Below are 25,808 nucleotides of genomic sequence, written 5' to 3' on the forward strand. Positions count from 1 at the left end.
ATCTGTGTGTGCATGCCAGTGCATTTGTGTGTACCCATGTGTCTGTGTGTCTGTACGTCTGTATGTCTGTGTGCATGCCCGTGGTGTGTGTGCCTATATGTCTATGTGTGCCTGTGTATCTGCGTGTGTGTGCCTCTGTTTTTGTGTCTGTATGTGTGTGTGTGTATGTGTCTGTGTGTGTGTACCTGCTTGTGTGTCTGTGTGTCTGTATGTCTATATGTGTCCGTGTGCCTGTGTGTGTGCCTATATGTCTGTGTGTGCCTGTGCATCTGTGTGTGTGTGTGCATCTGTGTGTGTGTGTGGTGTGCAAGTGTGCCTTGGGGCCGGCAGGGGCAGCTGCGGGGGCAATGGCTCAATGCTGGGGGCAGGCAGTCTGCATCCCATTTCCCACCCTATTCCGCTGGCCAATGAGAAAGTGAAAAGCACAGACCTTACTGTCACCATCTGTGTCCCCCAAACACCTACACCCACCAGCACTGTGCTGCACAGGAGCTGGACCCCTGGGAAGAAAACAGCCCCAGGGCTGCCAGGGAGCTTACAGACAACAGTGCACAGCCCCCACTGCGGGTCGACCTTTGGGGAGGGACCACTCTGGGATGGGGGACTGTCCTTTGCCTTGTACAGTGTTGAGCAGCACCCCGGGACTGTACTCATGAGATGCCAGTAGCATCCCCTCTGTTGTGCAAACAAAAATGTCTCCAGACATTGCCAAGCATCCCCTGAGGATAAAGTTGTTCCCAGTTGACAACCACAAGGGTAGGGTTTTGTGGAGCCATAAGCCAATAAACCTACAAAGACAGAAAATAAACCACAGGGCAGGGCCCTCGGAAGGAGACCCGCAGGCTCTGCTGAGCCGGGAGTAAAGGTTTGGGTCTCTTCTGCCGTCTCTGTGACCTCAGGCGGCTGCACCCTAGTTCTTCACAGATCCGATGAGAAACCAGGACCCTCACAGAGCCTGGGGAGTAGAGCCCGGAGGCTTCCAAAGCCTCTGCTCTGCGCGCATTCCCGTGGCTGACTTCCTTCCTAATGCACATTTTGGACAGTCCAGAGAAATATGCCCGCCTTCTTCACAGGCTCTGATCTGCCAAACTCAGGGTGAGACTGGCGAAGGCTAAGAATCTCGATGCAGTCCTGCACATCAGGCACAAATTGCCTAATTAGCACTTCCTCGAGTGCTGTCTGAGCCTTCCCTGAGGCTGTGTGCTGGGATGCCCTGGGGGGCATCTGGGGTCAGCCTGTGGCTTTGCCATATTGTGTGCCTGAGCCTGTTGGCAGGTGCCTGCCTTTGCAGCACCCTGGCCTGCTGCTCCTCCTCAGCCCCTCTCCTGCACACACCCACACACTGATGCACACTCACACACTCAGTCACACTCACACATAGACACACATGCACACTCATTCCCCCACACACATATGCACACGTGCCCCCACACACAGTCTCACACACATACCTACTCATCCTACACAAGCACATGCATTCACATATATACTCACCCACACACACCTTCACACACATGCACACTCCCATACAAACACACACACACACAAGCAAGCCCCCTACCACATGCCCACCTACAGGGCAGTGAGCCTCAGCCCCACCCACAGGTCTGTAGCCTCCCCTCTGGCTGTGCTGTCTCCTAGCTGGAACCTTGCACAGGCCGCTTTCTCTTCCGGGGATCCCTTCCTCTCCTTGTCCACAAGGCAGTCTCCTACCCCTCCTTCAAGACAGCATAAAGCAAGGACTGGCCCAGTTGCCAGTCTCAGCAGAAGCCTTCTGTATTAGGCCATTCTTGCATTGCTATAAAGGAATAACTGAGGTTGGGTAATTTATAAAGAAGAGAGGCTTAACTGGCTTACAGTCCTGCGGGCTGTACAGGAAGCATGGCACCTGCATCAGCTTTGCTTCTGGGGAGGCATCAGGGAGCTTCCAGTCAGGGCGGAAGGTGAAGCAAGAGCAGGTGTGTCACGTGGCAGGAGCAGGAACAGCAGTGGGGGTGGGGGGTGCCACACGCTCTTAAACTACCAGATGTCTCACCAGAGCTCACTCACTATTGTGAGGACAGCACCTAGCCATGAGGGATCCGTCCCCATGAACCAAACACCTCCCACCAGGCCCCACCTCCCAAACTGGGAATTACATCTCAACATGAGATTTGCAGGGGACAGGCAAGTTATGTCACCTTCTGAAGGAAAGACAAGCCCAAGCTTGGCCTCCTCTGGGACATTCCCAGCCAGCGCCACCACCTCCCTGCACAGAGCAGGCCTCAGCCTCTCCTGCAACCCTCTGCACGAGTGCCTAGGGATACATCAGTGGTGAGAACACTCTGTCGCAGTGCGCCTGCCATCCTGCTGGGAGCTTCGGAGGGTGAGGGCCGCGAAGTGTTGGCTGACCTCTCTCTGCCTGAGCCAGACCCCAGAACAATGGGTGACAATAGAAGGCACTAGAAGGCCTAAGTGTGTGCTTGTCACGTGAATGAACGAATGATGATGGCCAACAGGTCTGAGCGTGTTCTGTGTACCTGCCATTGTTCTGATAACTTTGTGTGACTTATCTTGTGTCAGCTTCACACCAGTCCTGGGCAGTGGATCCTGTTAATGGCATTCTCAGCAAGGTTAGGCAACTTGCCCAAGATTTCTCAGTGAGAAATTGAGAGTTTGAATTCAGATGGTCTAGATCCAGAACCTGCATTTTTATGAATGAATGAATGAGTGGCAGGCAAAACAAGGCAGAGCCTGCATATTTATGAACGAATGAATGAATGAATGAGTGGCAGGTAAAACAGGTCTGGAGAGACCTGGGCCTGAGATTCAACTTGCTCCTTAGGGGAGGGCAACTTCTGGAGGACAGATGTGTGAAATCAGGGAAGGTGATCATAGTTGAGTTCCAGGAGTTGGTGATGATGGACAAAGCCCAGTGCCAGGCAGGGGAAGGGAGAGGCCATTGGTACCGCGAACCCAAGGAGGGTCCACAGCAGGTCACAACAGAAAGGATGAGGCCCAGCCTCTAGGACTGAGAAAGCAAGGGGCAAAGGACATAGGACTCCACTCCATTAGCCCACGAATGACACAGTGACAACAACTCGGTAACATTTATTGGGCAACTCCTGTGTGGCAGGGGCTGGGCTAGGAGCTTTTCTTGCATTTTCTCATGTCAGCCTCACAGACTTGCACTAGTGCCCTCATCTTACAATATGGAAACTGAGGCCCATAGAGGTTTAGGGAGTTCCTGGGAGTTAGGGAAGCCAGGACTTTCCCCAGTTCTGTCTGCAAAGTCCCTGTCTTCCTCCTGCCCCCAGGTCATGGCAAAGGCACTGGCTGGCATCAAGCAGATTAGGGAGCATGGCCAAGACAAGTTCAGCTTTAGGTAGCAAGACCCTTTCTTGTAAATTGGGTTCAAGGCCAGGAATCCTAGGGAGGTGAGGGGACAGCAGAGAAGCAGAGGGAATGGCCAGTTGTGGAACGGCCACCATGGTCAGGCATCCACCGTTCTGGAAGCTTGGCAAACTCTTATCATCTGATCCCTCAACAAACTCTGAGCCTGCCATATTTCACAATGATGAGGAAACTGAGGCAGAGAGAGGTTATGAATCTCCCTCAGCATCACGCAGGTAAAAGGAGAGGACACAGGGCCCAGTGGCAAGGCTGGCTGACCTCAAGGCTGTGCCTCGCCTCTCTCCTTCTTGGCCAGGTCACAGCAGGCCCAGGTCCTAACAGGCCCAGGGACCACCACTGTAGGGAGGACTTGCTTCATGCCTGGCCCTACTTGGAGTACTTTATAGATATTATATTATTAATTCCCTATATGGGAATTATTGTTACCCAAACTTTACAGCTAATGAACTGAGTCCCAAGGAAGTCATGAAACTTACAAGATCAGGAAGTAGCAGAACTGGGATTTTTCCCCTGTGCGCGCCAAAGCTGCTGTTATAGCCACCGGGCTGCATTGCCTTTGGGGACCGGCACCTGGGGCCATCATCTGGGCTACAGCTGAGGAATGAAAGTGGCTACCAGGAATCTGGGTCCAAGGCCCAGAAGTCAGGGAGACCTAAATTCCTCCTGACCACAGCGGGAGGAGCCCCTGGCCAGGAGCAGGGCCAGGCCGGAGGGTCAGCTGACTCTAGCTGCCAGGGGGCGGGAGGCGGGGGTACGGAGCAGGGAACCAGGGCAGGAAGTTGGGCAGATTTTGAGCTGAAATTGTATTCTTAAGTTATTTAGAATGATTTTTATAAAAAAGATAGTAATGACAGGACAATGTGCATAGGATAAAATAATAAGTGAAAAAATCAGATTCGAAAACTGAACTCAGCCTAGTATGAAAAACAGGCATAGAAAGGGGCCTAAGGAAATACCTGGATGTTAACAGGAGTGCGGTTGCCCCAGGGGGACTATGTGTAAATATATGATGTGTACAGTGAGAACGTGTTGCTTTTTATCATCAGAAAACAGAAACAAAGGTAACCCGTGTATCCAACAAGAGTAAGTTCATCATTACTTGTTGAATGAATGAATGGTTGAATTAATGAAAAGAAAATTCAGTGATGGGTGGAACGCAGACAGACCATGTTTTCTTTTCTACTCCCCTTTAGAAAGGGAGGTTGAACTGCGATCCCACATTTGAGCTTGAAGAGATGATTCTAGAATCCAAGCCACTTCACAAAAAGAAGAAGCGATTGGCAAAGAACAGATCCAGGGATGGCACAAAGGACAGCTGCCCGCTGGTGAGTGCTTCGTGGGAGCCGTTCCGGGAGAGAAATCCTGTGCTCATAGGGAAATGACTGAGCCAGGCCACTGTTTAGCAAAAAGGGGACATTTCAATCCTCCCTTCCAATTTCCTTATTTTGCAGTAAATAAAATGCTACTATCAAACAAGTAGGGGGAAAGAGTGAAGTAAGGCATTCACACTCCTGGCATTCCTTGAGCGCTATTCCTACAGCAGGAAGCTTGTGTAGCTCTAAGGCAGGGGGAGGGACCCAGCGGTCCCACTGCGCCCTTGAGAAAGATTTTGTACCGCAGAGGCCCCCAGGGCTGCACGATGACTTTTGTGGGTCCTGGGCACTTTGCCTCTGTGGGCCTCTGTATTCGTTTCCTGGGGCTGCCACAAGCTAGGTGGCTTAAAACAACCCACATTGATTCTCTCACGGTTCTGGAGGCCAGAAATCCAAACTCAAGGTCTCCGCAGAGCCCAGCTCTCTCCAAAGGCTATAGGGGAGGGGCCGTCCTTGGCTCCCCAGGCTTCGAGTGGCGGCCGGCCCCCTTGTCCTTCGCTGGCTCGCAGCTGCATGGTTCCAGTCTCTCCCTCCGTCACTGCATGGCCTTATTCTCTGTGTCTTCGCATGTCTTCATATGGCCTTCATATAAGGACCCCAGTCATTGGTCTTAGGGCCTACCTAATTCACTGTGACTTCATCTTAACTGGATTACATCTGTAAAGGTTCTATTTCCAAATAACGTCATGTTTATAAGTACTGGGGGGCTGGGACTCAAGATACCTTTCAGAGGACACAATTCAACACACAACACCCCCCTCCCCTATGCAAGTGGAGCCCCTGGCATCATGGTTGTGAATTTCTGGTTTTCCATGCCCCTCACGTGGGCCTTAAGTGGTCAGGAAAATAAGCTCATGAATTTCAGCCCATATTCCATTCTAACATGGCTTTTAAGTTGGATTTCATGGCTTAACGTGGAGAAAAGCATCTTTGTCCACCAGGCTACCTTTGGACACAGCCACCCATGCAGTCAGGGTCAGCCCCAGACACTTAGCTTGGCTTGTCCCGGTCCCAAGCATCTGAGGTTTCCATCTAGGTCAGTCTGCCGTCCTGTGATGCTCCATTACCGCGCGTCCCCGGACCGTGCTTTGTCATTTAGTCACCCCTCTGTGCTCTTTGACAGAATGGACACCTGCAGCACTGTTTGGAGACTGTCCGGGAGGAATTCATCATATTCAACAGAGAGAAGTAAGTCCTTCATACTGTCCCCCTTGGGCAAAGCCTGTCCTAAGTGACCCAAGGTCCTCCTGGCAGAATCACAGTCCCTGCCCCCCAAACCGGCCTTGACGACAAAAGGGAAGGTATCGCTGAGGTGAGACACAGGGCTCTGGTGGGGGGTGAAACTCCTGGATTTTGAATTAGACAGGGCTCCGATCCTGCCTCTGCTGTGTGGCCTGAGCCAGTCTCTGGGAGCTCCCATGAGAATGGGGAGGCTGCAGCAGCCCTGAGCGGGCACACAGGAACACAGGCGGAGAGGCAGGCTCACTGTGATGAAAAGTAAGAGCGCTGGGGTCAAGTTGCCTGGGGCCAAGTCCTGGCTCTGCCACTGCAGAGTGACCTTGCCCTGCCTGAGCCTCCTGGTCAGCATCAGCCCAGTGGAGAGGCCTCCTTAAGACGCGGGGCTGTGAGAATTAAATGAGGCTGTGGTCCCGCAGCACCTGGTATGGAAGGGGTTCTCAACACGGCAAGGTAATGACGATTGTTACTAATATTTACTTGGGTAAGGTCGGTGGGGGATGCTGGAACCTCAGCAGCCTGGGATGGGAAAAGAGACACAGGGAATCTGGGAGGGGCTAGGTGGGGTGTGCCCTGGCCATGGGACTGCCCTCTAAGGGGCTGGTCAACAAAGCAGGCAGACACCTCAGGCTCGGTTCCAGCCAATGATAATATCTAGAGGAGGCCGGGCGCGGTGGCTCACACCTGTAATTCTAGCATTTTGGGAGGCTGAGGCGGGCAGATCACGAGGTCAGGATATCGAGACCACGGTGAAACCCCGTCTCTTCTAAAAATACAAAAAGTTAGCTGTGCGCAGTGGCGGGCACCTGTAGTCCCAGCTACTCGGGAGGCTGAGGCAGGAGAATGGTGTGAACCCGGGAGGCAGAGCTTGCAGTGAGCCGAGATCGCGCACACTGCACTCCAGCCTGGGCGACAGAGCAAGACTCCGTCTCAAAAAAAAAAAAAAAAATTATCTAGGGGATTTGTGGCTGTGGCTGACTTGTCAGAGCTGGGGCTCCAGCAGGGGCAGCCGATGAGCCCCATTGGACCCACACTAAGCCAAGCTTTGGGTTGGTGGAGGCAAATCAGAGATGCTTCCTGCCCTCCAGGAGATTCAAATATTGATTGACTCAAAAAATCATTGATTACAGGCCCTTATGCAATCCCCAGTATTCAACCGTTTTGGCTTTCAGCAGATGCTAACAGCGCAGGAAACACGTGCTAAGGCCAAGGGCCACCCAGGGCAGTGCATGTCACAGCAGACACCTGGCTCAGCCTGGGTGGTTGGGGAAGTTCTCTAGGTGGCGTGCTGGGCCAAGTCCTAAGGGACATGTAGGGGAAAACGCGGCATTCCAGGAGTAGGAAAAGTGCACAGAGAAGGAAGACAGCATGGCTGCCGCAGGGCCTAGAGAGTGAGGAGAGGTGAGGGATGGGGCAGGGATGGGTGTTTGGGTTCCAGCCATGGGCCAGTGGGCAGGACAGGGCCCCAGTCCCAGTCGATGCTGGGGAGGCAAAGGAGGCAGCAGCCTTTCACTGACCCTGAGTGGCTATAGCTCTGAGGGCCAATGGGTGCCCAGATCAGCACAGACACACACACCAGGCTTGGGCAGCAAGCCTCACCTGCTAGAGGACCACATGTTGGGGTCTCCCAGCTCTGGCCAACAACACAGGAAGGGCCTCTGCAGCCACAGCCCATCAGACTTGGGGAAGACGGGGGCTGATGTCGTGAGTGGTTTCGGAGCTTATCCCAATTTGCCTGTGGTCCTGCCTGCTCTGAGGCTCATGGCCCTTCCCCCAGACTTAGAAACCCAGACCCAGGAACTTCTGCTCAAAGAGCATCAGTGATCTTGGGCTCAGGCAGCCTTCATTCTCTGTGTGTGGGCCGTGGAGTCCAATGAGAGCAGCTGCTGGCAAACGTGAGCCTGCAAAAAGCTAAGCTGTGTGGGACCCAAGCAGACAGCAATCTCATTTCACCTTTTGCTGTGTGCCAGAACATGCTTCAATTTGGATTCTTCCTTTTAAAAGGAAGTGAGAATGAGACATCCTTCCCTGTGTCATTTAGGAGTTGCGTCTGCTGCTTTTAGCAGAAACCTCACTATATAGGAGCTTCAGCCGAGTAGATGTTTTCTTCCTCACGTGTAAATGGGAATTGATGAGGGAAATGCAGTTGGCCTGTGGACACCCCTGAGATTTGCAGTCAGCCTATGGACACCATTGAGATTTGGCATCGGGGATTGGAAGTGAGGCTGGCATAGTTTACCGGAGTCAGCAAAATAAAGAAAGAGGGCAGACGTCATGTGTTCCTGACAATGGGGAGCCACAGAGAGCATGGCTATGGGGGAAGCTGTTGGCTGAGGTCTGAGCTGTAGTTCTTCTTCTTCATCCTGTCTCTGCTTACCTAAGTGCTTCCTCTGCGGCCCTGATGGCTGATAGGCTTCCTGTCACAGCAGGCGTGCAGGCTTACTGCCATATAAAGGTGTCCAGGAGAGGGTTTTGCTGTGTCCCCCAAGATGCATCAGCCGACCCCATCCCCACCTCATCTTGTGGGAAGAGAGCCATGCTCCATCTACCCACAGTCCTCCCTTGCTGCAGTTTCTCAGCAGTAAAAAAAATGCCTATGAGAAGTTGATTCATGACTCATGATTGCCTCAAAACAAGCATTTTTACTTTAAACCAAGAAAAAAGTGAGACCTGTTTATCCTTCACTTCTGTCTGGAATCCCATGTTAGAGGCACTGCTGGCACTTGAGTAGCTGGAAAATTAAATCGAGCACCTTCTTCCCCACTTGAGCAGTGTAGTGAGTCGAGGGCTGGTCAGGGGGAGCCAAGCATCAAGCCAGGCTTGTCGTCATGCTCCGCCTGGACCACGTCCCCGGTCCCCAGCAGTTCCGCCTCCTTTCAATCTCTGCAGACCTGGCCATCAGCCTGACACCAGTTGCTCCTGCAGAATATGCAGGGGCATGCAGGATCCCTGCACAGTGGGGGCTGCAAAGATAAATCACACATCACACAGGAGGGCCACAGTCCCAGGGGGACAATCAGAATTGTCTGAGGGCCTGTTAGCATCTAGAGATACTGCACCTGCTGCAGGTTGCATGGTGTCCCTCAAAAAGATATGTCGAAGCCCTAAGCCCCCCTACTTCAGAATGTGACCTTATTTGGAAATAGGGTGGGTGCAGATGTAATGAGTTATGATGAGGTCAGACTGGAGTAGGGTGGGTGCCTAATCCAACATGACTGGTGTCTGTCCTGACAAGAGAAGAGGTGCAGGCATGGGGAGAAGGCCACGGGAAGATTGTAGTGATGCAGGTACAAGCCAACGAGCACCCAGCATTGGCGGCCATCCAGCGCTGGGAGGAAGGACTGGAGCGGATTCTCCCTCAGAGCCCTCAGAAGGAGCCAACCCTGCCCACACCTTGATTTCAGACTCTAGCCTCTAGAGCTATGGGGAATACATTTCTGTTGTTTAAAGCCACCCAGTTGGTGGTAACTTAGTTACGGCCACCCAGAGAAACTAATACAGCCAATACAGCTCCCTAATCCATTCCTTCCCAACCAGAAGCTGAGAGAGTAAGCATGGGGACCAGCGTTTTAATATGTCCCACAAGCGATTCTGATGCTAAACAGTTTGGAATCTTGCGCAGGAGACCAGGGTGTCTAAGTGGTGCATCCTCTAGTGGGTTCTGAGTTGAGTCATAAGGACCCGTCTAAAGCTGCAAACCCTCCCAGCTCTGACTCCCTTGCCCTTAGGGGTTCATCTGCAACTCCTACATTCAATGTGTCTTGAACATAGATTCCTGCTATACATGGTTTTAGCAAAAGCCTACTGGCTGCGGGATGCTCCCGGGGGCCTTAACTTCCCTGCACAGCTGACTTCCTCTTGCATAGGCCACGTATGCTTCCTCAGCTACAGAAAGCTCTTGGGGAGAGAGACGGTTCCTGCAACTCCCACTGTGGTAGAGCACCCATCATCTGCACCAAGCAGCAAGTAGGAGCTGAGAGGACATGGGCAGGGCATCCACTGTGTCAGCCCTGCAGGACAAATGCATTCAGTCATTTGACAGCTAAATCATAATCCTGGACTGGGCCTCACACAGAAGTGAGTCTTCAGGACTCGTGTCCTCAGGATGCCCATAGCCTGCAGCGGGGAGGATTACCAAACAGTGCGGTGTGTGCCGTGAATCAGACACACAGGGGCCACTGTGGGGACAGGAGGAGGTGCCCTGGGGCTAACCTCTCTGGACCTTTGTTTCGAAACAGAGAACAAAATTAAAATTAGCGCTGCCTACTTTTTTGGAAATGCAGCTTATTATTGGCTAATGGTCTCAGCTGGCAAAAGGCCACTGAGCCAGGTGGAGCATCTGCTTCCAGGGCTGGTCAGGGCTTTGAAGGCCTTGGCAGCTGAGACTTCCATTGGGTTGAGAAATGCACCAGGGGGCCCATCCTCCTATTCTTGGCCAAAGATCTGAGCAGGGCTGATTTTTCCAAGAGGTCTTTTCAATAGCATTTGACATTTTGCAGAATAAGAAGCTCCTGGTGAGGAAGGAATTTAAGGGGCATTTTCTATCTTTGCTATCTCTTGAAGAAACAGAAACATTTAAAATCATATAAAAGCTACCCCTGGAGTCCTTGAAAATATCACATTTAAAAAATCTACTATTGCATTTGTTACACCAAATAATACTATGAACACTAATAACAATCATCATTTGTATGTGACTTTATGGTTTTAGATCATGTTCCTTTAATCTAGGGTTTCTCAACCTTGGCACTGACTGTTGACATCAATTCTTGGTTGTGAGGGCCATCCTGTGCCTTGCAGGATACTTAAATAATCTCTGCCCTCTACCTACTAGATACCAGTAACACCTTCAGACAGTGACAATCAAAAATGTCTCCAGATATTGCCAAACGTTCCCTGGCAGGCAAAATCACCCCCAGTTGAGAGCCAGTGCTTTAGTCCTTACTTATCACATTTCCCTAAAAGAAATATCATTGGTATTCTCAAGGTCTTGCAATATGAAGAACTTGAACTCTAATCTCCCGTCTCCTAGTTCCCAGGCTCTTTCTGCTAGCTGTGCTTTCATCCAGTTGTTTGGCAGATGTTTATTGAGCATCTCCCTGGGGTCAGGTACAGGGATACTGCTGGGAGCAAGGCCCCTGCTCTCAATGGAGCTCACAGCCTGGTGGCACGAGCTTTCAGACGTGCAGGAAGGATTGCTTTGCACAAGTGGGTGGCCTTGAGGGTTCTCTCCAATGCACCCAATGGGCAGTGGCAGGCGTGGCATAGATGGTCATGAGAGCTCCCTTTTATTGGGTGTTCACTCTGTGCCATTTAGTCTGTACATCCGTCCTCTGAGCTGGTTATGCTTATTCCCCCCCATTTCACAGGTTAGGAAGTACAGGCCCAGAGTGGATTAAGGGCACACAGCCAAGAGGTGGCAGAGCCGGGGTTCCACAGAGACAGTGTGGCTCCAGAGCCCCAGGCTGAATCAAAATAGCCCCTGGCCATGTACATTAAATGTTGGGCAAGGAATTGTCACTCTCCCTGTAGACACCTTCTGTTGGCGAACCCAGACGTTTCAGGTGCAAGATTATACAAATTAACATGACCACAATGCATCCTCCTTACCCCTCCTCAGACCACACAATGGCAGCAAACCCAGCGCATTTGCTGTGGATGGAGGGTGCCCTGACTAAGTCCGCAGCAGGGTAGACAGTCAAAAGATATTTAAAGACCGGACACGGTGGTTCACACCTGTAATCCCAGCACTTTGGGAGGCCGAGGCAGGTGGATCACCTGAGGTCAGGAGTTTGAGACCAGACTGGCCAACATGGTGAAGCCCCATCTCTAGTAAAATACAAAAATTAGTCTGGTGTGGTGGTACATACCTGTAATCCCAGCTACTTGGGAGGCTAAGTCAGGAGAATCACTTGAACCCGGGAGGCAGAAGTTGCAGTGAGCCAAGACCGCGCCACTGCACTCCAGCCTGGGAGACAGAGCGAGACTCTGTCTCAAAAAAAAAGAAAAAAAATTAATGTTGGCTGACTTCATCTGCTTAGGTGGCCTCCCTGGAGAACTCTGGCCTTGGAGGATCCCAGCAATATGATAGGGACCCTCCAGCATGGCCTGGAGCCCTCGTGAGCCAGCGCCAATGAGGCACAAGGGGTGCAATCCATCACAGGCTTCAGAATCTGATGGGCCTGGGTCAAGTCTTGGTCTTGCTGCTCATGGTGCTGTGACCCCAGTGAAGCTCCAGCCTCTCTGAGCCTCGGACTTCTCATCTGTGCCATCAAGGGGCTGAACAGATGTCAATGATTCTTTGACTTTACCAAGGTCTGTGCCATCTGCGAAGTGCTTTGACATTTCTCGTATCTCTTCAGCAACCCAACTAGTAAGAAAAGGAAAGGTTAGTCCTTGTATTAATCTGCAAAATGGAGAAAACCCTTTGCACTTAGTCCCTTCCCCACAAACCTCACTGCTGGGAAGTAGCAAACTTCAAAACTCTAGGCCTCCCAAAGTGAAGGCCAGCACATGTAGGTTCTGTCCAGTCTTTGAATTAAACATTGTGGTTCAAACTTAATAGAAAAGGCAGTTAACAGTGAAGACCACCTTCTGTGTGCTGGCCATGGGGGAGCTACCTGCACCCATTTTCTCATTCCATTCTCCTTGAGATTGTATCCGTAGGTATTTTTATTCCCGTTTCACAGTCAGCTAAACTGATTAAAACATAATTCTGACTTGAATGGTGTCTCTGAAACTCAGAAGTCTAGAGGGTTTACTGCCCAATGAGGTGGAGGGGAGGGAAGAGCTCAGGCGATTGAGCAAGGCAGGGCCGAGCTTCCTGGGAACCTTGATACAGCAGAGCAAATGCCTTTCGAATGACTGGGGAGAATCAGCTCAGTGACCTGACGCAGCGGGAGGAATTCCAGCCAGAGATGAAGGTAGTCTAAAAGGCTGTGTGGATTGCAGAATCTTAATAGTGCCACAAAACTCACAATCAAGACACTGCATGGGAATTAGGGCCCGGTTTAAAAAGTGTGGCCAGGCACGGTGGCTCACACCTGTAATCCTAGCACTTTGGGAGGCTGAGGCTGGCGAATCACGAGGTCAGGAGTTCAAGACCAGCCTGGCCAACATGGTGAAACCCCCATCTATACTAAAAATACAAAGAAACATTAGCTGGGTGTGGTGGCAGGCGCCTGTAATCCCAGCCACTCAGGAGGCTGAGGCAGGAGAATCGCTTGAACCCGAGAGGCGGAGGTTGCAGTGAGCCGAGATCACACCACTGCACTCCAGCCTGGGTGACAGTGCAAGACTCCATCTCAAAAAAAAAAAAAAAAAAAGCGTGACTGGCTTGGGAGGCTGAGGTGGGCAGATCACTTGAGGTCAGGAGTTCAAAACCAACCTGGCCAACATGGTGAAACCCTGTCTTTACTAAAAATACAAAAATTAGGCAAGCGTGGTGGTGCACGCCTGTAGTTCAGCTACCCAGGAGGCTGAGGCAGGAGAATTGCTTGAACCTGGAAAGCAGAGGTTGCAGCGAGCCAAGATCACGCCACTGCACTCCAGCCTGGGCAACAGAGCAATACTCCGTTCCAAAAAAAAAAAAGTGTGACCGATTCTGACAAATCTCAGCCAATAAAAGATGTGGAAAATAAAAAAAAAAAGACATAGAAAATACTATCATTTTTAAGTGTATTGAAAAGCTGTTATGTGCCGTGTACTGTGCTTGGTTGGCATTTTATATATATTCACACTTGATCTACAATTAATCCTCACCACAATCTTTTTGTTTGTTTTTTTAAATTTTTTTGAAATGGAGTTTTGCTCGTCGCCCAGGCTGGAGTGCAATGCCGCAATCTTGGCTCACTGCAACCTCCGCCTCCCAGGTTCAAGCGATTCTCCTGCCTCAGCCTCCCAAGTAGCTGGGATTACAGGCACCCGCCACCACACCCAGCTAATTTTTGTATTTTTTTTTTAGTAGAGATGGGGTTTCGCCACGTTGGCCAAGCTGGTCTCGATCTCCTGACCTCAGGTGATCTGCCCACCTCGGCCTCCCAAAGTGCTGGGATTACAGGTGTGAGCCACTGCACCCGGCCTCACAATCTTGATTTATAAGTCTTAATGTCTGGAAAGAATAAGTCATCCGTCTGAGGTCACTGGTAAAGTGTTTTAGCTAGAGTGGGGATTCCACACATAGGTCTGAGGGATTCTCAAGCCCATTTTCTGTTTCACTATCCCCCTTCTAATGCTCACTTTTAATTTTTTAAAAATACAGAAACTGTAATTACAATATCCAAGTGAAGTAAAGGAGTGGTACTGCTGGGAAAGTATATAAAATACAGAATACAAACACTGAGGTGTTCTGAAATAAGCACACAGGGGCAACTAGTAACTTCTCTTATGGGTCCTTAAAGTTGATTTCCACTGCTTAATCTAGCTATCACACACCCTGGCTTCTTATGAAAAAGCCTTAGACTCTGCCTGAGAACCCTGTGTTGTGAGTTGAATTGTGTCCTCCTAAAGGATATGTTGGAGACCTGTCGCCTAGCACCTGTGAAGATGACCTGTCACCTGGCACCTGTGAAAATGACCTTATTTGGAAACAGGGTTTTTGCAGAAGTATTAAGTTTATGAGTGAATATGACCTTATTTGGAAACAGAGTCTTTGCAGAAGTATTCAATTTATGAAGAGGTCACACTAGATTAGGGTAGGCACTAAATCCAATGGCACATAGGGAAGAAGGCCATGTGCAGGTGCAGGGAGAGACAGAAGAGAGGCTGCCACAACCCAAGGGATGCCGCCACCAGATTGGTGGCTACCACCAGAAACTGGAAGAGACAAGGAAGGACTTCCCCCTGCAACCCTCTAAGGAAGTGTGGCCCAGCCAACACCTTGATTTCTAACTTTCTGGTCTCTAGAACAAAGCGAGACTATATTTCTGTTGTTTTTAAGCCACCAAGTTTGCGGAAATTTGCTAAGCAGAGCAAGGAAACAAATATACCTTCCAGGAACTTAAAAGGCTCCCCGATGGGTAGTGCTGTCTCACCGTGTAACCCTCGATTTCTCCTCAAAATTCAAACAAAACGTTAAGCATGGCTATTATTATCAGTGAGGTGTTCTGAAATAAGCACACAGGGGCAACTAGTAACTTCTCTTATGGGTCCTTAAAGTTCATTTTCACTACTTAATCTAGCTGTTATCACACACCCTGGCTTCTTATGAAAAAGCCTTAGAGTCTCTGCCTGAGACCTCTGTGTTGAATTGAATTGTGTCCTCTCAAATGGCCTAAAACCCTCAAATGCCTCATTTTCTGTCTAGAGACACAGTCTAGAGGTCCTGATGGGAGCTCTGGCTCAGAATGGCTCAGAGTCCATTATTCACCACCCACCAGCATCCGGATCCCCAGATCCCCTCTCTGAGTCCATAACCAGGTACAAATGCACAGTTTCAGTGACTTAACAACAACCAAGTGTGTTCCTTGTTCACGCTGTATGTCCATGGCAGGTCAGCTTGGAGTGCAGCTCCTACATCTTCCTGCTGCTTCTCACTCCACTCCATATGGCAGTGATCATGACAGAGGGAAGAGCCCTCTGGAGAGTTTTGCCCTTGGGAATTACACGCTCCAGCCTGATGGTAGCACGCAGCACTTCCATTCATGCTCACTGGCCGGAACTAGTCACGTGGCCTCACTTAACACCAAGGGAGCCCAGAACTTCAATCCTGCCGTGTGCTGGGAACAGGGGCCAGAGTGTGTGGTGAGGACCCCTAGTGACTGCCCATCCGTCAGACCCCCAGTGCAGGTCCTTCCAGTGCCCCCACCCACACCAAGAAGGACCCAGCAAACCTCACCCTTAAGCCAGCTGAGGCGGAAAAGCTCAGCCTCACCTCCGAGTCTAGGGAGAAATCAACTGGTACCAGTGCCCAGAATGGGGCCGTGGAAAGAATGCTTAGCTGGGAAGAGGGGAAGAGCAGAGTTCTGCATCTGAACTCTCAACTCCCCTCTGAAAAGCCATGTGACCTACTACCAGTTGCCCATCCATTCTCACCCTAAAAATGGGCCTGGTTCACTTTTCTCCCAAAGGATGGGATGTAGGTATTAAATGAGAAGTTGTGGAATGAAGAGACAACAAATAGGGAAAATCAATCCCCCATGACTCAGAAACCAGAGACTGCTGCCCTTCAGTTCTGTCAGAGCGGTCTCATTTGCAAAGGGGCGGAGAGAGGGAGAGGAGACGATGGTAAGAGAATCCCTTGCGTTTTGCATTTTCTGCATTTAGCACCCAGGGTTTGGCTGAATCCAACCAAAGACTCCCTCAAATGTGTGTTGCTTCAGGCAACAGCTGATAAGACTGGCAGAACTTTAATGCTTCTGGCCAAAGGCTGTTATTGAATTACAGAGATCAGAATTGCCTACAAGGTAATCTCCCAATAACTGTTGAGGTTTAAAAGTGGAACTGCCAGTTATATTGAGTTTTTACTTAGAAAAGAGAAATCTCCGGGAGACTGGAAAGATGTTGTATTAGAGTCCCAGAGAAAACACTCCAAGGATAATTTACTTACAAAGAATCGTTTACATGGAGTGGGTAGAGACGCCACAGAGGCTCTGCAGTACCTTGGGGCTCCATAGAAGCCAAGGTGTTACTCCCCGGAGGCTGGAGGAGATGAGGGGATGGAGAGCCTCAATCACCGGGCTGCCTTGACTGGAGCAGTGACCTCCAATGTTCCTAGCAACCCCAGGCGGCAGTGCAGGGAGGAAGCTAGGGAACCAGTGCCCACACTTGGCATCCCTTGCTCTCTATGATTTCTGCTGGGGCTTCCCATTGGCCACGCCCAGCTGGCAGCCCACAGGCATGGGCACCTAGGCTATGGCTCCTCCAAGTCAGACTCCCAGGCTGACAAGAGTTGGAGGTGGTGCAAAGCGGATCCAGGGGGAGGCAGGAGACAGTTAATCCCGGGGAGTTTTTTCTTTTTCTTTGTTCTTGTTTTTTGTTGGTTTTTGTTTGTTTGTTTTTGTTTTTGTTTTTTTTTTTTTTTAGATGGAGTCCTGTTCTGTCACCCAGGCTGGAGTGAAGTGGCATGATCTCGGCTCACTGCAACCTCCGCCTCCCGGGCTCAAGCAATTCTCCTGCCTTAGCCTCCCAAGTAGCTGGGATTACAGGCGCCCACCACCACGCCCAGCTAATTTTGTATTTTTAGTAGAGGCAGGGTTTCACCATGTTGGTCAGGCTGGTCTCAAATTCCCGACCTCAGGTGATCCACCCACCTCACCCTCCCAAAGTGCTGGGATTACAGGCGTGAGCCACCATGCCCGGCCTAGTCTAGGGGAATTCTAAGAATTGGAGGAATATTCCATGAGAAAGAAACTGGAATCATCCAAATATTTAATAGTTCCAGAAAGCAGACCTAAGGCCAGTGGAGGTGGAGTGGAGATGGAGCTCTCAGGCAGCAGATTTCTCCATTTCAATTCTATGTGAAGGAAAAGTTTCTCAGGACTTGAGCTATTCCCAGATGGGATGGGCTGCCTTGGGAGGTGGCAGCAGGGCTTGGGTAACACTGGCTGGGTCTCTTCCAGGGATTCTAGAGAAGGGATTCTTGCAGGGTATGCACGATGGAACTGAATGACTTTTGCTTTTTTCTCTTTCAATATCCACCCCCCATTTCCAACTCAATTACCATTATTCAATTTGGTATGTGTCCTCCCACAGCTTTCCAGTAATTTCAACTCTGTGTTTGCGGTTTTTTGGGGTTTTGTTTTGGGGCGTTTCTTTTTTAACTACAGAGAGGCAGGATATGTAAATGGCTAAAAGCACACACTCTGGAACCAGACTGCCTGGGTACAAATCCTGATTTTAGCTTTGTGGCCTTAGACTTCAAACTACTGCCTCAGCTTTCTAATTGTAAAATGGGGTATTAATATGTACTTCATAGGATTGTCGTAAGAACAAATGGCACACATGTTAAGCATTTAACAGCCTCGGTGACAGTCAGCACTACCCAATGTTTCCTAGTAATATTAATTATTTACAAAATTATCAGACCGATATAGTGCCATTCAATTAAGTATTGTGTCAGACATTATCTTCTTTTCATTTTTTAAATCAACACACACTGTTCACAAAAAGAGTCAAACTCTGTAAAATATTTCAAGAGGTTTATTCTGAGCCAAATATGAGTGACCGTGGCCCATGACACAGCCCTCAGGAGGTCCTGAGAACATATATGTGCCCAAGGTGGTCGGGGTACAGCTTGGTTTTAAACATTTTAGGGAGGAATGAGACATCAATCAAATACATTTAAGAAATACATTGGTTTGGTTCAGAAAGGCAGGACAACTCAAAGCAGGGTTGGTGGGGGAGCTTTCAGGCTATAGGTAAATTTAAACATTTTCTGGTTAACAATTAGTTGAGTTTATCTGAAGACTTGGGATCAATGGAAAAGAATGTTTAGGTTAAGATAAAGGATTGTGGAGACCACGTTTTTTTTTTCTTTCATTATACTTTAAGTTTTAGGGTACATGTGCACAACGTGCAGGTTAGTTACATTTGTGTACATGTGCCATGTTGGTGTGCTGCACCCATTAACTCGTCATTTAACATTAGGTATATCTCCTAATGCTATCCCTCCCCCCTCCACCCACCCCACAACAGGCCCCAGTGTGTAATGTTCCCCTTCCTGTGTCCATGTGTTCTCATTGTTCAATTCCCACCTATCAGTGATAACATGCGGTGTTTGGTGTTTTGTCCTTGCGATAGTTTGCTGAGAATGATGGTTTCCAGCTTCATCCATGTCCCTACAAGGGACATGAACTCATCATTTTTTATGGCTGCATAGTATTCTATGGTGTATATGTGCCACATTCCTTTAATCCAGTCTATCATTGTTGGACATTTGGCTTGGTTCCAAGTCGTTGCTATTGTGAACAGTGCCACAATAAACATACGTGTGCATGTGTCTTTAAAGCAGCATGATTTATAATCCTTTTGGTATATACCCAGAAGTGGAATTGCTGGGTCAAATGTTATTTCTAGTTCTAGATCCCTGAGGAATCGCGACACTGACTTGCACAATGGTTGAACTAGTTTACAGTGCCACCAACAGTGTAAAAGTGTTCCTATTTCTCCACATCCTCTCCAGCATCTGTTGTTTCCTGACTTTTTAATGATTGCCATTCTAACTGGTGTGAGATGGTATCTCATTGTGGTTTTGATTTGCATTTCTCTGATGGCCAGAGCTGATGAGCATTTTTTCATGTGTCTTTTGGCTGCATAAAAGTCTTCTTTTGAGAAGTGTCTGTTCATATCCTTTGCCCACTTTTTGATAGGGTTGTTTGTTTTTTTTCTTGTAAATTTGTTTGAGTTCATTGTAGATTCTGAATATTAGCCCATTGTCAGATGAGTAGATTGCAAAAATTTTCTCCCATTCTCTAGGTTGCCTGTTCACTCTGGTGGTAGTTTCTTTTGCTGTGCAGAAGCTCTTTAGTTTAATTAGATGCCATTTGTCAATTTTGGCTTTTGTTGCCATTGCTTTTGGTGTTTTAGACATGAAGTCCTTGCCCATGCCTATGTCCTGAATGGTATTGCCTAGTTTTTCTTCTAGGGTTTTTATGGTTTTAGGTCTAACATTTAAGTCTTTAATCCATCTTGAATTAATTTTTGTATAAGGTGTAAGGAAGGGATCCAGTTTCGGCTTTCTACATATGGCTAGCCAGTTTTCCCAGCACCATTTATTAAATAGGGAATCATTTCCCCATTTCTTGTTTTTGTCAGGTTTGTCAAAGATCCGATGGTTGTAGATATGCGGCATTATTTCTGAGGGCTCTGTTCTGTTCCATTGGTCTGTATCTCTGTTTTGGTACCAGTACCATGCTGTTTTGGTTACTGTAGTCTTGTAGTACAGTTTGAAGTCAGGTAGTGTGATGCCTCCAGCTTTGTTCTTTTGGCCTAGGATTGACTTGGCAATGTGGGCTCTATTTTGGTTCCATATGAACTTTAAAGTAGTTTTTTCCAATTCTGAGAAGAAAGTCATTGGTAGCTTGATGGGGATGGCATTGAATCTATAAATTACCTTGGGCAGTATGGCCATTTTCACGATATTGATTCTTCCTACCCATGAATATGGAATGTTCTTCCATTTGTTTGTATCCTCTTTTATTTCGTTGAGCAGTGGTTTGTAGTTCTTCTTGAAGAGGTTCTTCACATCCCTTGTAAGTTGGATTTCTAGGTATTTTATTCTCTTTGAAGCAATTGTGAATGGGAGTTCACTCATGATTTGGCTCTCTGTTTGTCTGTTATTGGTGTATTAGAATGCTTGTGATTTTTGTACATTGATTTTGTATCCTGAGACTTTGCTGAAGTTGCTTATCAGCTTAAGGAGATTTTGGGCTGAGATGATGAGGTTTTCTAGATATACAATCATGTCATCTGCCAACAGGGACAATTTGACTTCCTCTTTTCCTAATTGAATACCCTTTTATTTCTTTATCCTGCCTGATTGCCCTGGCCAGAACTTCCAACACTATATTGAATAGGAGTAGTGAGAGAGGGCATCCCTATCTTTTGCCAGTTTTCAAAGGGAATGCTTCCAGTTTTTCCCTATTCAGTATGATATTGGCTGTGGGTTTGTCATAGATAGCTCTTATTATTTTGAGATATGTCCCATCAATACCTAATTCATTAAGAGTTTTCAGGATGAAACGTTGCTGAATTTTGTCAAAGGCCTTTTCTGCATCTATTGAGATAATCATGTGGTTTTTGTCTTTGGTTCTGTTTATATGCTGGATTACATTTATTGATTTGCATATGTTGAACCAGCCTTGCATCCCAGGGATGTAGCCCACTTGATCATGGTGGATAAGCTTTTTGATGTGCTGCTGGATTCGGTTTGCCAGTATTTTACTGAGGATTTTTGCATCAATGTTCATCAAGGATATTGGTCTAAAATTCTCTTTTTTGGTTGTGTCTCTTCCCGGCTTTGGTATCAGGATGATGCTGGACTCATAAAATGAGTTAGGGAGGATTCCCTCTTTTTCTATTGATTGGAATAGTTTCAGAAGGAATGGTACCAGTTCCTCCTTGTACCTCTGGTAGAATTTGGCTGTGAATCCATCTGGTCCTGGACTCTTTTTGGTTGGTAAGCTATTGATTATTGCCTCAATTTCAGAGCCTGTTATTGGTCTATTCAGAGATTCAACTTCTTCCTGGTTTAGTCTTGGGAGAGTGTATGTGTCCAGGAATTTATCCATTTCTTCTAGATTTTCTAGTTTATTTGCGTAGAGGTGTTTATAGTGTTCTCTGATGGTAGCTTGTATTTCTGTGGGATCGGTGGTGATATCCCCTTTATCATTTTTTATTGCATCTATTTGATCCTTCTCTCTTTTCTTCTTTATTAGTCTTGCTAGCAGTCTATCAATTTTGTTGACCTTTTCCAAAAACCAGCTCCTGGATTCATTGATTTTTTGAAGGTTTTTTTGTGTCTCTATTTCCTTCAGTTCTGCTCTGATCTTAGTTATTTCTTGCCTTCTGCTAGCTTTTGAATGTGTTTGCTCTTGCTTTTCTAGTTCTTTTAATTGTGATGTTAGGGTATCAATTTTAGATCTTTCCTGCTTTCTCTTGTGGACATTTAGTGCTATGAACTTCCCTCTACACACTGCTTTGAATGTGTCCTAGAGATTCTGGTATGTTGTGTCTTTGTTCTCGTTGGTTTCAAAGAACATCTTTATTTCTGCCTTCATTTCGTTGTGTACCCAGCAGTCATTCAGGAGCAGGTTGTTCAGTTTCTATGTAGCTGAGCGGTTTTGAGTGAGTTTCTTAATTCTGAGTTCTAGTTTGATTGCACTGTGGTCTGAGAGACAGTTTGTTATAATTTCTGTTCTTTTACATTTGCTGAGGAGTGCTTTACTTCCAACTATGTGGTCAATTTTGGAATAGGTGTGGTGTGATGTGGAAAAGAATGTATATTCTGTTGATTTGGGGTGGAGAGTTCTGTAGATGTCTATTAGGTCCACTTGGTGCAGAGCTGAGTTCAATTCCTGGATATCCTTCTTAACTTTGTGTCTCATTGATCTGTCTAATGTTGACAGTGGGGTGTTAAAGTCTCCCATTATTATTGTGTTGGTGTCTCAGTCTCTTTGTAGGTCTCTAAGGACTTGCTCTATGAATCTGGGTACTCCTGTATTGGGTGCATATATATTTAGGATAGTTAGCTCTTCTTGTTGAATTGATCCCTTTACCATTATGTAATGGCCTTCTTTGTCTCTTTTGATCTTTGTTGGTTTAAAGTCTGTTTTATCAGAGACTAGGATTGCAACCTCTGCCTTTTTTTGTTTTCCATTTGCTTGGTAGATCTTCCTCCATCCCTTTATTTTGAGCCTATGTGTGTCTCTGCACGTGAGATGGGTTTCCTGAATACAGCACACGGATAGGTCTTGACTCTTTATCCAGTTTGCCAGTCTGTCTCTTTTAATTGGAGCATTTAGCCCATTTACATTTCAGGTTAATATTGTTACGTGTGAATTTGATCCTGTCATTATGATGTTAGCTGGTTATTTTGCTCGTTAGTTGATGCAGTTTCTTCCTAGCCTCGATGGTCTTTACAATTTGGCATGTTTTTGCAGTGGCTGGTACCAGTTGTTCCTTTCCATGTTTAGTGCTTGCTTCAGGAGCTCTTTTAGGGCAGGCCTGGTGGTGACAAAATCTCTCAGCATTTGCTTGTCTGTAAAGTATTTTATTTCTCCTTCACTTATGAAGCATAGTTTGGCTGGATATGAAATTCTGGGTTGAAAATTCTTTTCTTTAAGAATGTTGATTATTGGCCCCCACTCTCTTTTGGCTTGTAGAGTTTCTGCCTAGCGATCAGCTGTTAGTCTGATGGGCTTCCCTTTGTGGGTAACCCGACCTTTCTCTCTGGCTGCCCTTCCCATTTTTTCCTTCATTTCAACTTTGATGAATCTGACAGTTATGTGTCTTGGAGTTGCTCTTCTCGTGGAGTATCTTGGTGGCGTTCTCTGTATTTCCTGAATCTGAATGTTGGCCTGTCTTGCTACACTGAAGAAGTTCTCCTGGATAATATCCTGCAGAGTGTTTTCCAACTTGGTTCCATTCTCCCCGTCACTTTCAGGTACACCAATCAGATGTAGATTTGGTATTTTCACAAAGTCTCATATTTCTTGGAGGCTTTCTCGTTTCTTTTTATTCTTTTTTCTCTGAACTTCTCTTCTCGATTCTTTTCATTCATTTCATCTTCCATCACTGATACCCTTTCTTCCAGTTGATCGAATCGGCTACTGAGGCTTGTGCATTCGTCATGTAGTTCTCGTGCCATGGTTTTCAGCTCTATCAGGTCCTTTAAGGACTTCTCTGTATTGGTTATTCTACTTAGCCATTCGTCTAATTTTTTTCAAGGTTTTTAACTTCTTTGCCATGGGCTCAAACTTCCTCCTTTAGCTCGGAGTTGTTTGATCTTCTGAAGCCTTCTTCTCTCAACTTGTCAAAGTCATTCTCCCTCCAGCTTTGTTCCGTTGCTGGTGAGGAGCTGCGTTCCTTTGGAGGAGGAGAGGCACTCTGCTTTTTAGAGTTTCTAGTTTTTCTGCTCTGTTTTTTCCCCATCTTTGTGGTTTTATCTACCTTTGGTCTTTGATGATGGTGATGTACAGATGGGGTTTTGGTGTGGATGTACTTTCTGTTTGTTAGTTTTCCTTCTAACAGTCAGGACCTTCAGCTGCAGGTCTGTTGGAGTTTGCTGGAGGTCCACTCCAGACCCTGTTTGCCTGGGTATCAGCAGCGAAGGCTGCAGAACAGTGGATATTGGTGAACAGCAAATGTTGCTGCCTGATCATTCCTCTGGAAGTTTTGTCTCAGGGGAGTACCTGGCCGTGTGAGGTGTCAGTCTGCCCCTACTGCGGGGTGCCTCCCAGTTAGGCTACTCGGGGATCAGGGACCCACTTGAGGAGGCAGTCTGTCCGTTCTCAGATCTCCAGCTGCGTGCTGGGAGGACCACTACTTTCGGGGAAGCTGTCAGACAGGAACATTTAAGTCTGCAGAGGATTCTGCTGCCTTTTGTTTGGCTATGCCCATGCCCCCAGAGGTGGAGTCTCAGAGGCAGGCTGGCCTCCTTGAGCCGTAGTGGGCTCCACCCAGTTCGAGCTTCCCAGCCTCTTTGTTTACCTACTCAAGCCTTGGCAATGGCGGGCGCCCCACCCCCAACCTCGCTGCAGCCTTGCAGTTTGATTTCAGACTGCTGTGGTAGCAATGAGCGAGGCTCCGTGGGTGTAGGATCCTCCCAGCCAGGCGCGGGATGTAATTGCTGGTGTGCCGTTTGCTAAGACCGTTGTAAAAGCAGTATTAGGGTGGGAGGGACCTGATTTTCCAGGTGCCATCTGTCACCCCTTTCTTTGACTAGGAAAGGGAATTCCCTGACTTCTTGCGCTTCCAAGGTGAGGCGATGCCTCGCCCTGCTTTGGCTCACGCTCGGTGCGCTGCACCCACTGTCCTGCACCCACTGTCCAACACTCCCCAGTGAGATGAACCTGGTACCTCAGTTGGAAATGCAGAAATCACCTGTCTTCTGCGTCGCTCATGCTGGGAGCTGTAGACTGGGAGCTGTACACTGGAGCAGTTCCTATTTAGGGGACTGGAGCTGGCTCCACCCCCCTAAAATGTTTTATTTGGGAGGAAAGAATTGCAATTCAGGGCATACATTGCAGATTGGCTGGTCTTTAAGTATGTCCAAAGAACAAAGAGAAGGTTAGAGGTTTCATAAGAAGGAGAAATATTACATATTGCTCTTTGAGAAGTTTCACTGGCACCAGTAAGATGTTGAGCAGTTAGCAAGTTCTGATTGGTAAGTAATAGCAGTGGGCAAAACCAGTCTTAGAATTGCAGCAGGTCATTTACTGTATTTCAGTTGGGTATGACAAGAATGACCCAGTTCATATGATCAGTTTTTACAAGTTCCCTTTTTGGTCAAGCTGTTTCTCTGAAAGTGTTGTTGATCAACCATGCTGTAGTTAGGCTTAATTATCCCTCAGCACCAGAATGGATCTGTCCCAGTTGTCTCTGTCCCATGTTGCAGGGAAGATATGTGGGTCTTTGTCAGGGACCCAAACCACAGTAAAGTAACAAAAAGGCCAGAAGGAAAAATCTTCCCAGAATGGGTTTGACTGTGGTCTAGTATTGATTTCCATCTAATTAGTCCATGGGCATGAGCAGTCATCTGGAAGTGTTGAGTTAACATTATCCTGTTAGGAGACTTGGCATCACAAAGATTGGAGAGGCAGTAAGAGCAAAGTTTAAAAATTATAATACAATTATAATATGATAAATGATTAACAACAACACAATACAATTAGTTTGTACAATGATTTTGAACTCACAGCCGAAGCCTAAGGGCAACAAACTAAAATCTAAAGACTGTGGAGGAAACTGGGTGAGACGTGTTGTAGCCATTGAGTCACATTTTATGACTGGGTTGACTTAAAGAAGAAAATGTCAACTGACAAAAGAAATCACCAATACAACTTGACCAAAAAGCTGTGCTAGGGTTATCGTCAAAATAGCCTAGAGCAATTACGTATTGTAAAATGTGAATTACAGCATTATCCTGCCAAATGAAAAAGGTAGCATCGAGGAGGGGAGGAGTCTTATTCTGATATGGAGTCTCGTTCTGACACCTTAGGATAAGCTGTTTACAGTGTGGAAAACACCCCCTTCTTATTTTGGTTTGCAGTTTAAATGTCTCTGGTTATGGCATCAGGAAGCTTGGTGAACCTTCTTTGTGGCCCACACATGAGGCATGAAACCTGCTCCTTAAAATTTATCTAGTTT

At 47.7% G+C, this 25,808-nt stretch overlaps 1 protein-coding gene across 7 annotated transcripts in view; it reads left to right on the top strand.

Moving 5' to 3' along the window:
• Nucleotides 1-25,808, top strand: part of STK32B (serine/threonine kinase 32B) — a 481,604-nt gene that overhangs the window by 442,731 nt on the left and 13,065 nt on the right. For all 7 annotated transcript variants that reach the window (XM_047415924.1, XM_047415925.1, NM_001306082.2 and 4 more), the window contains 2 exons: nucleotides 4,587-4,718; nucleotides 5,890-5,954. In XM_047415924.1, the coding sequence (XP_047271880.1) occupies nucleotides 4,587-4,718; nucleotides 5,890-5,954 (197 nt within the window). The remainder of the gene's footprint in view (nucleotides 1-4,586; nucleotides 4,719-5,889; nucleotides 5,955-25,808) is intronic.

The sequence above is a fragment of the Homo sapiens genome, chromosome 4 (assembly GCF_000001405.40).
Source record: "Homo sapiens chromosome 4, GRCh38.p14 Primary Assembly".
NCBI lineage: Eukaryota > Metazoa > Chordata > Mammalia > Primates > Hominidae > Homo > Homo sapiens.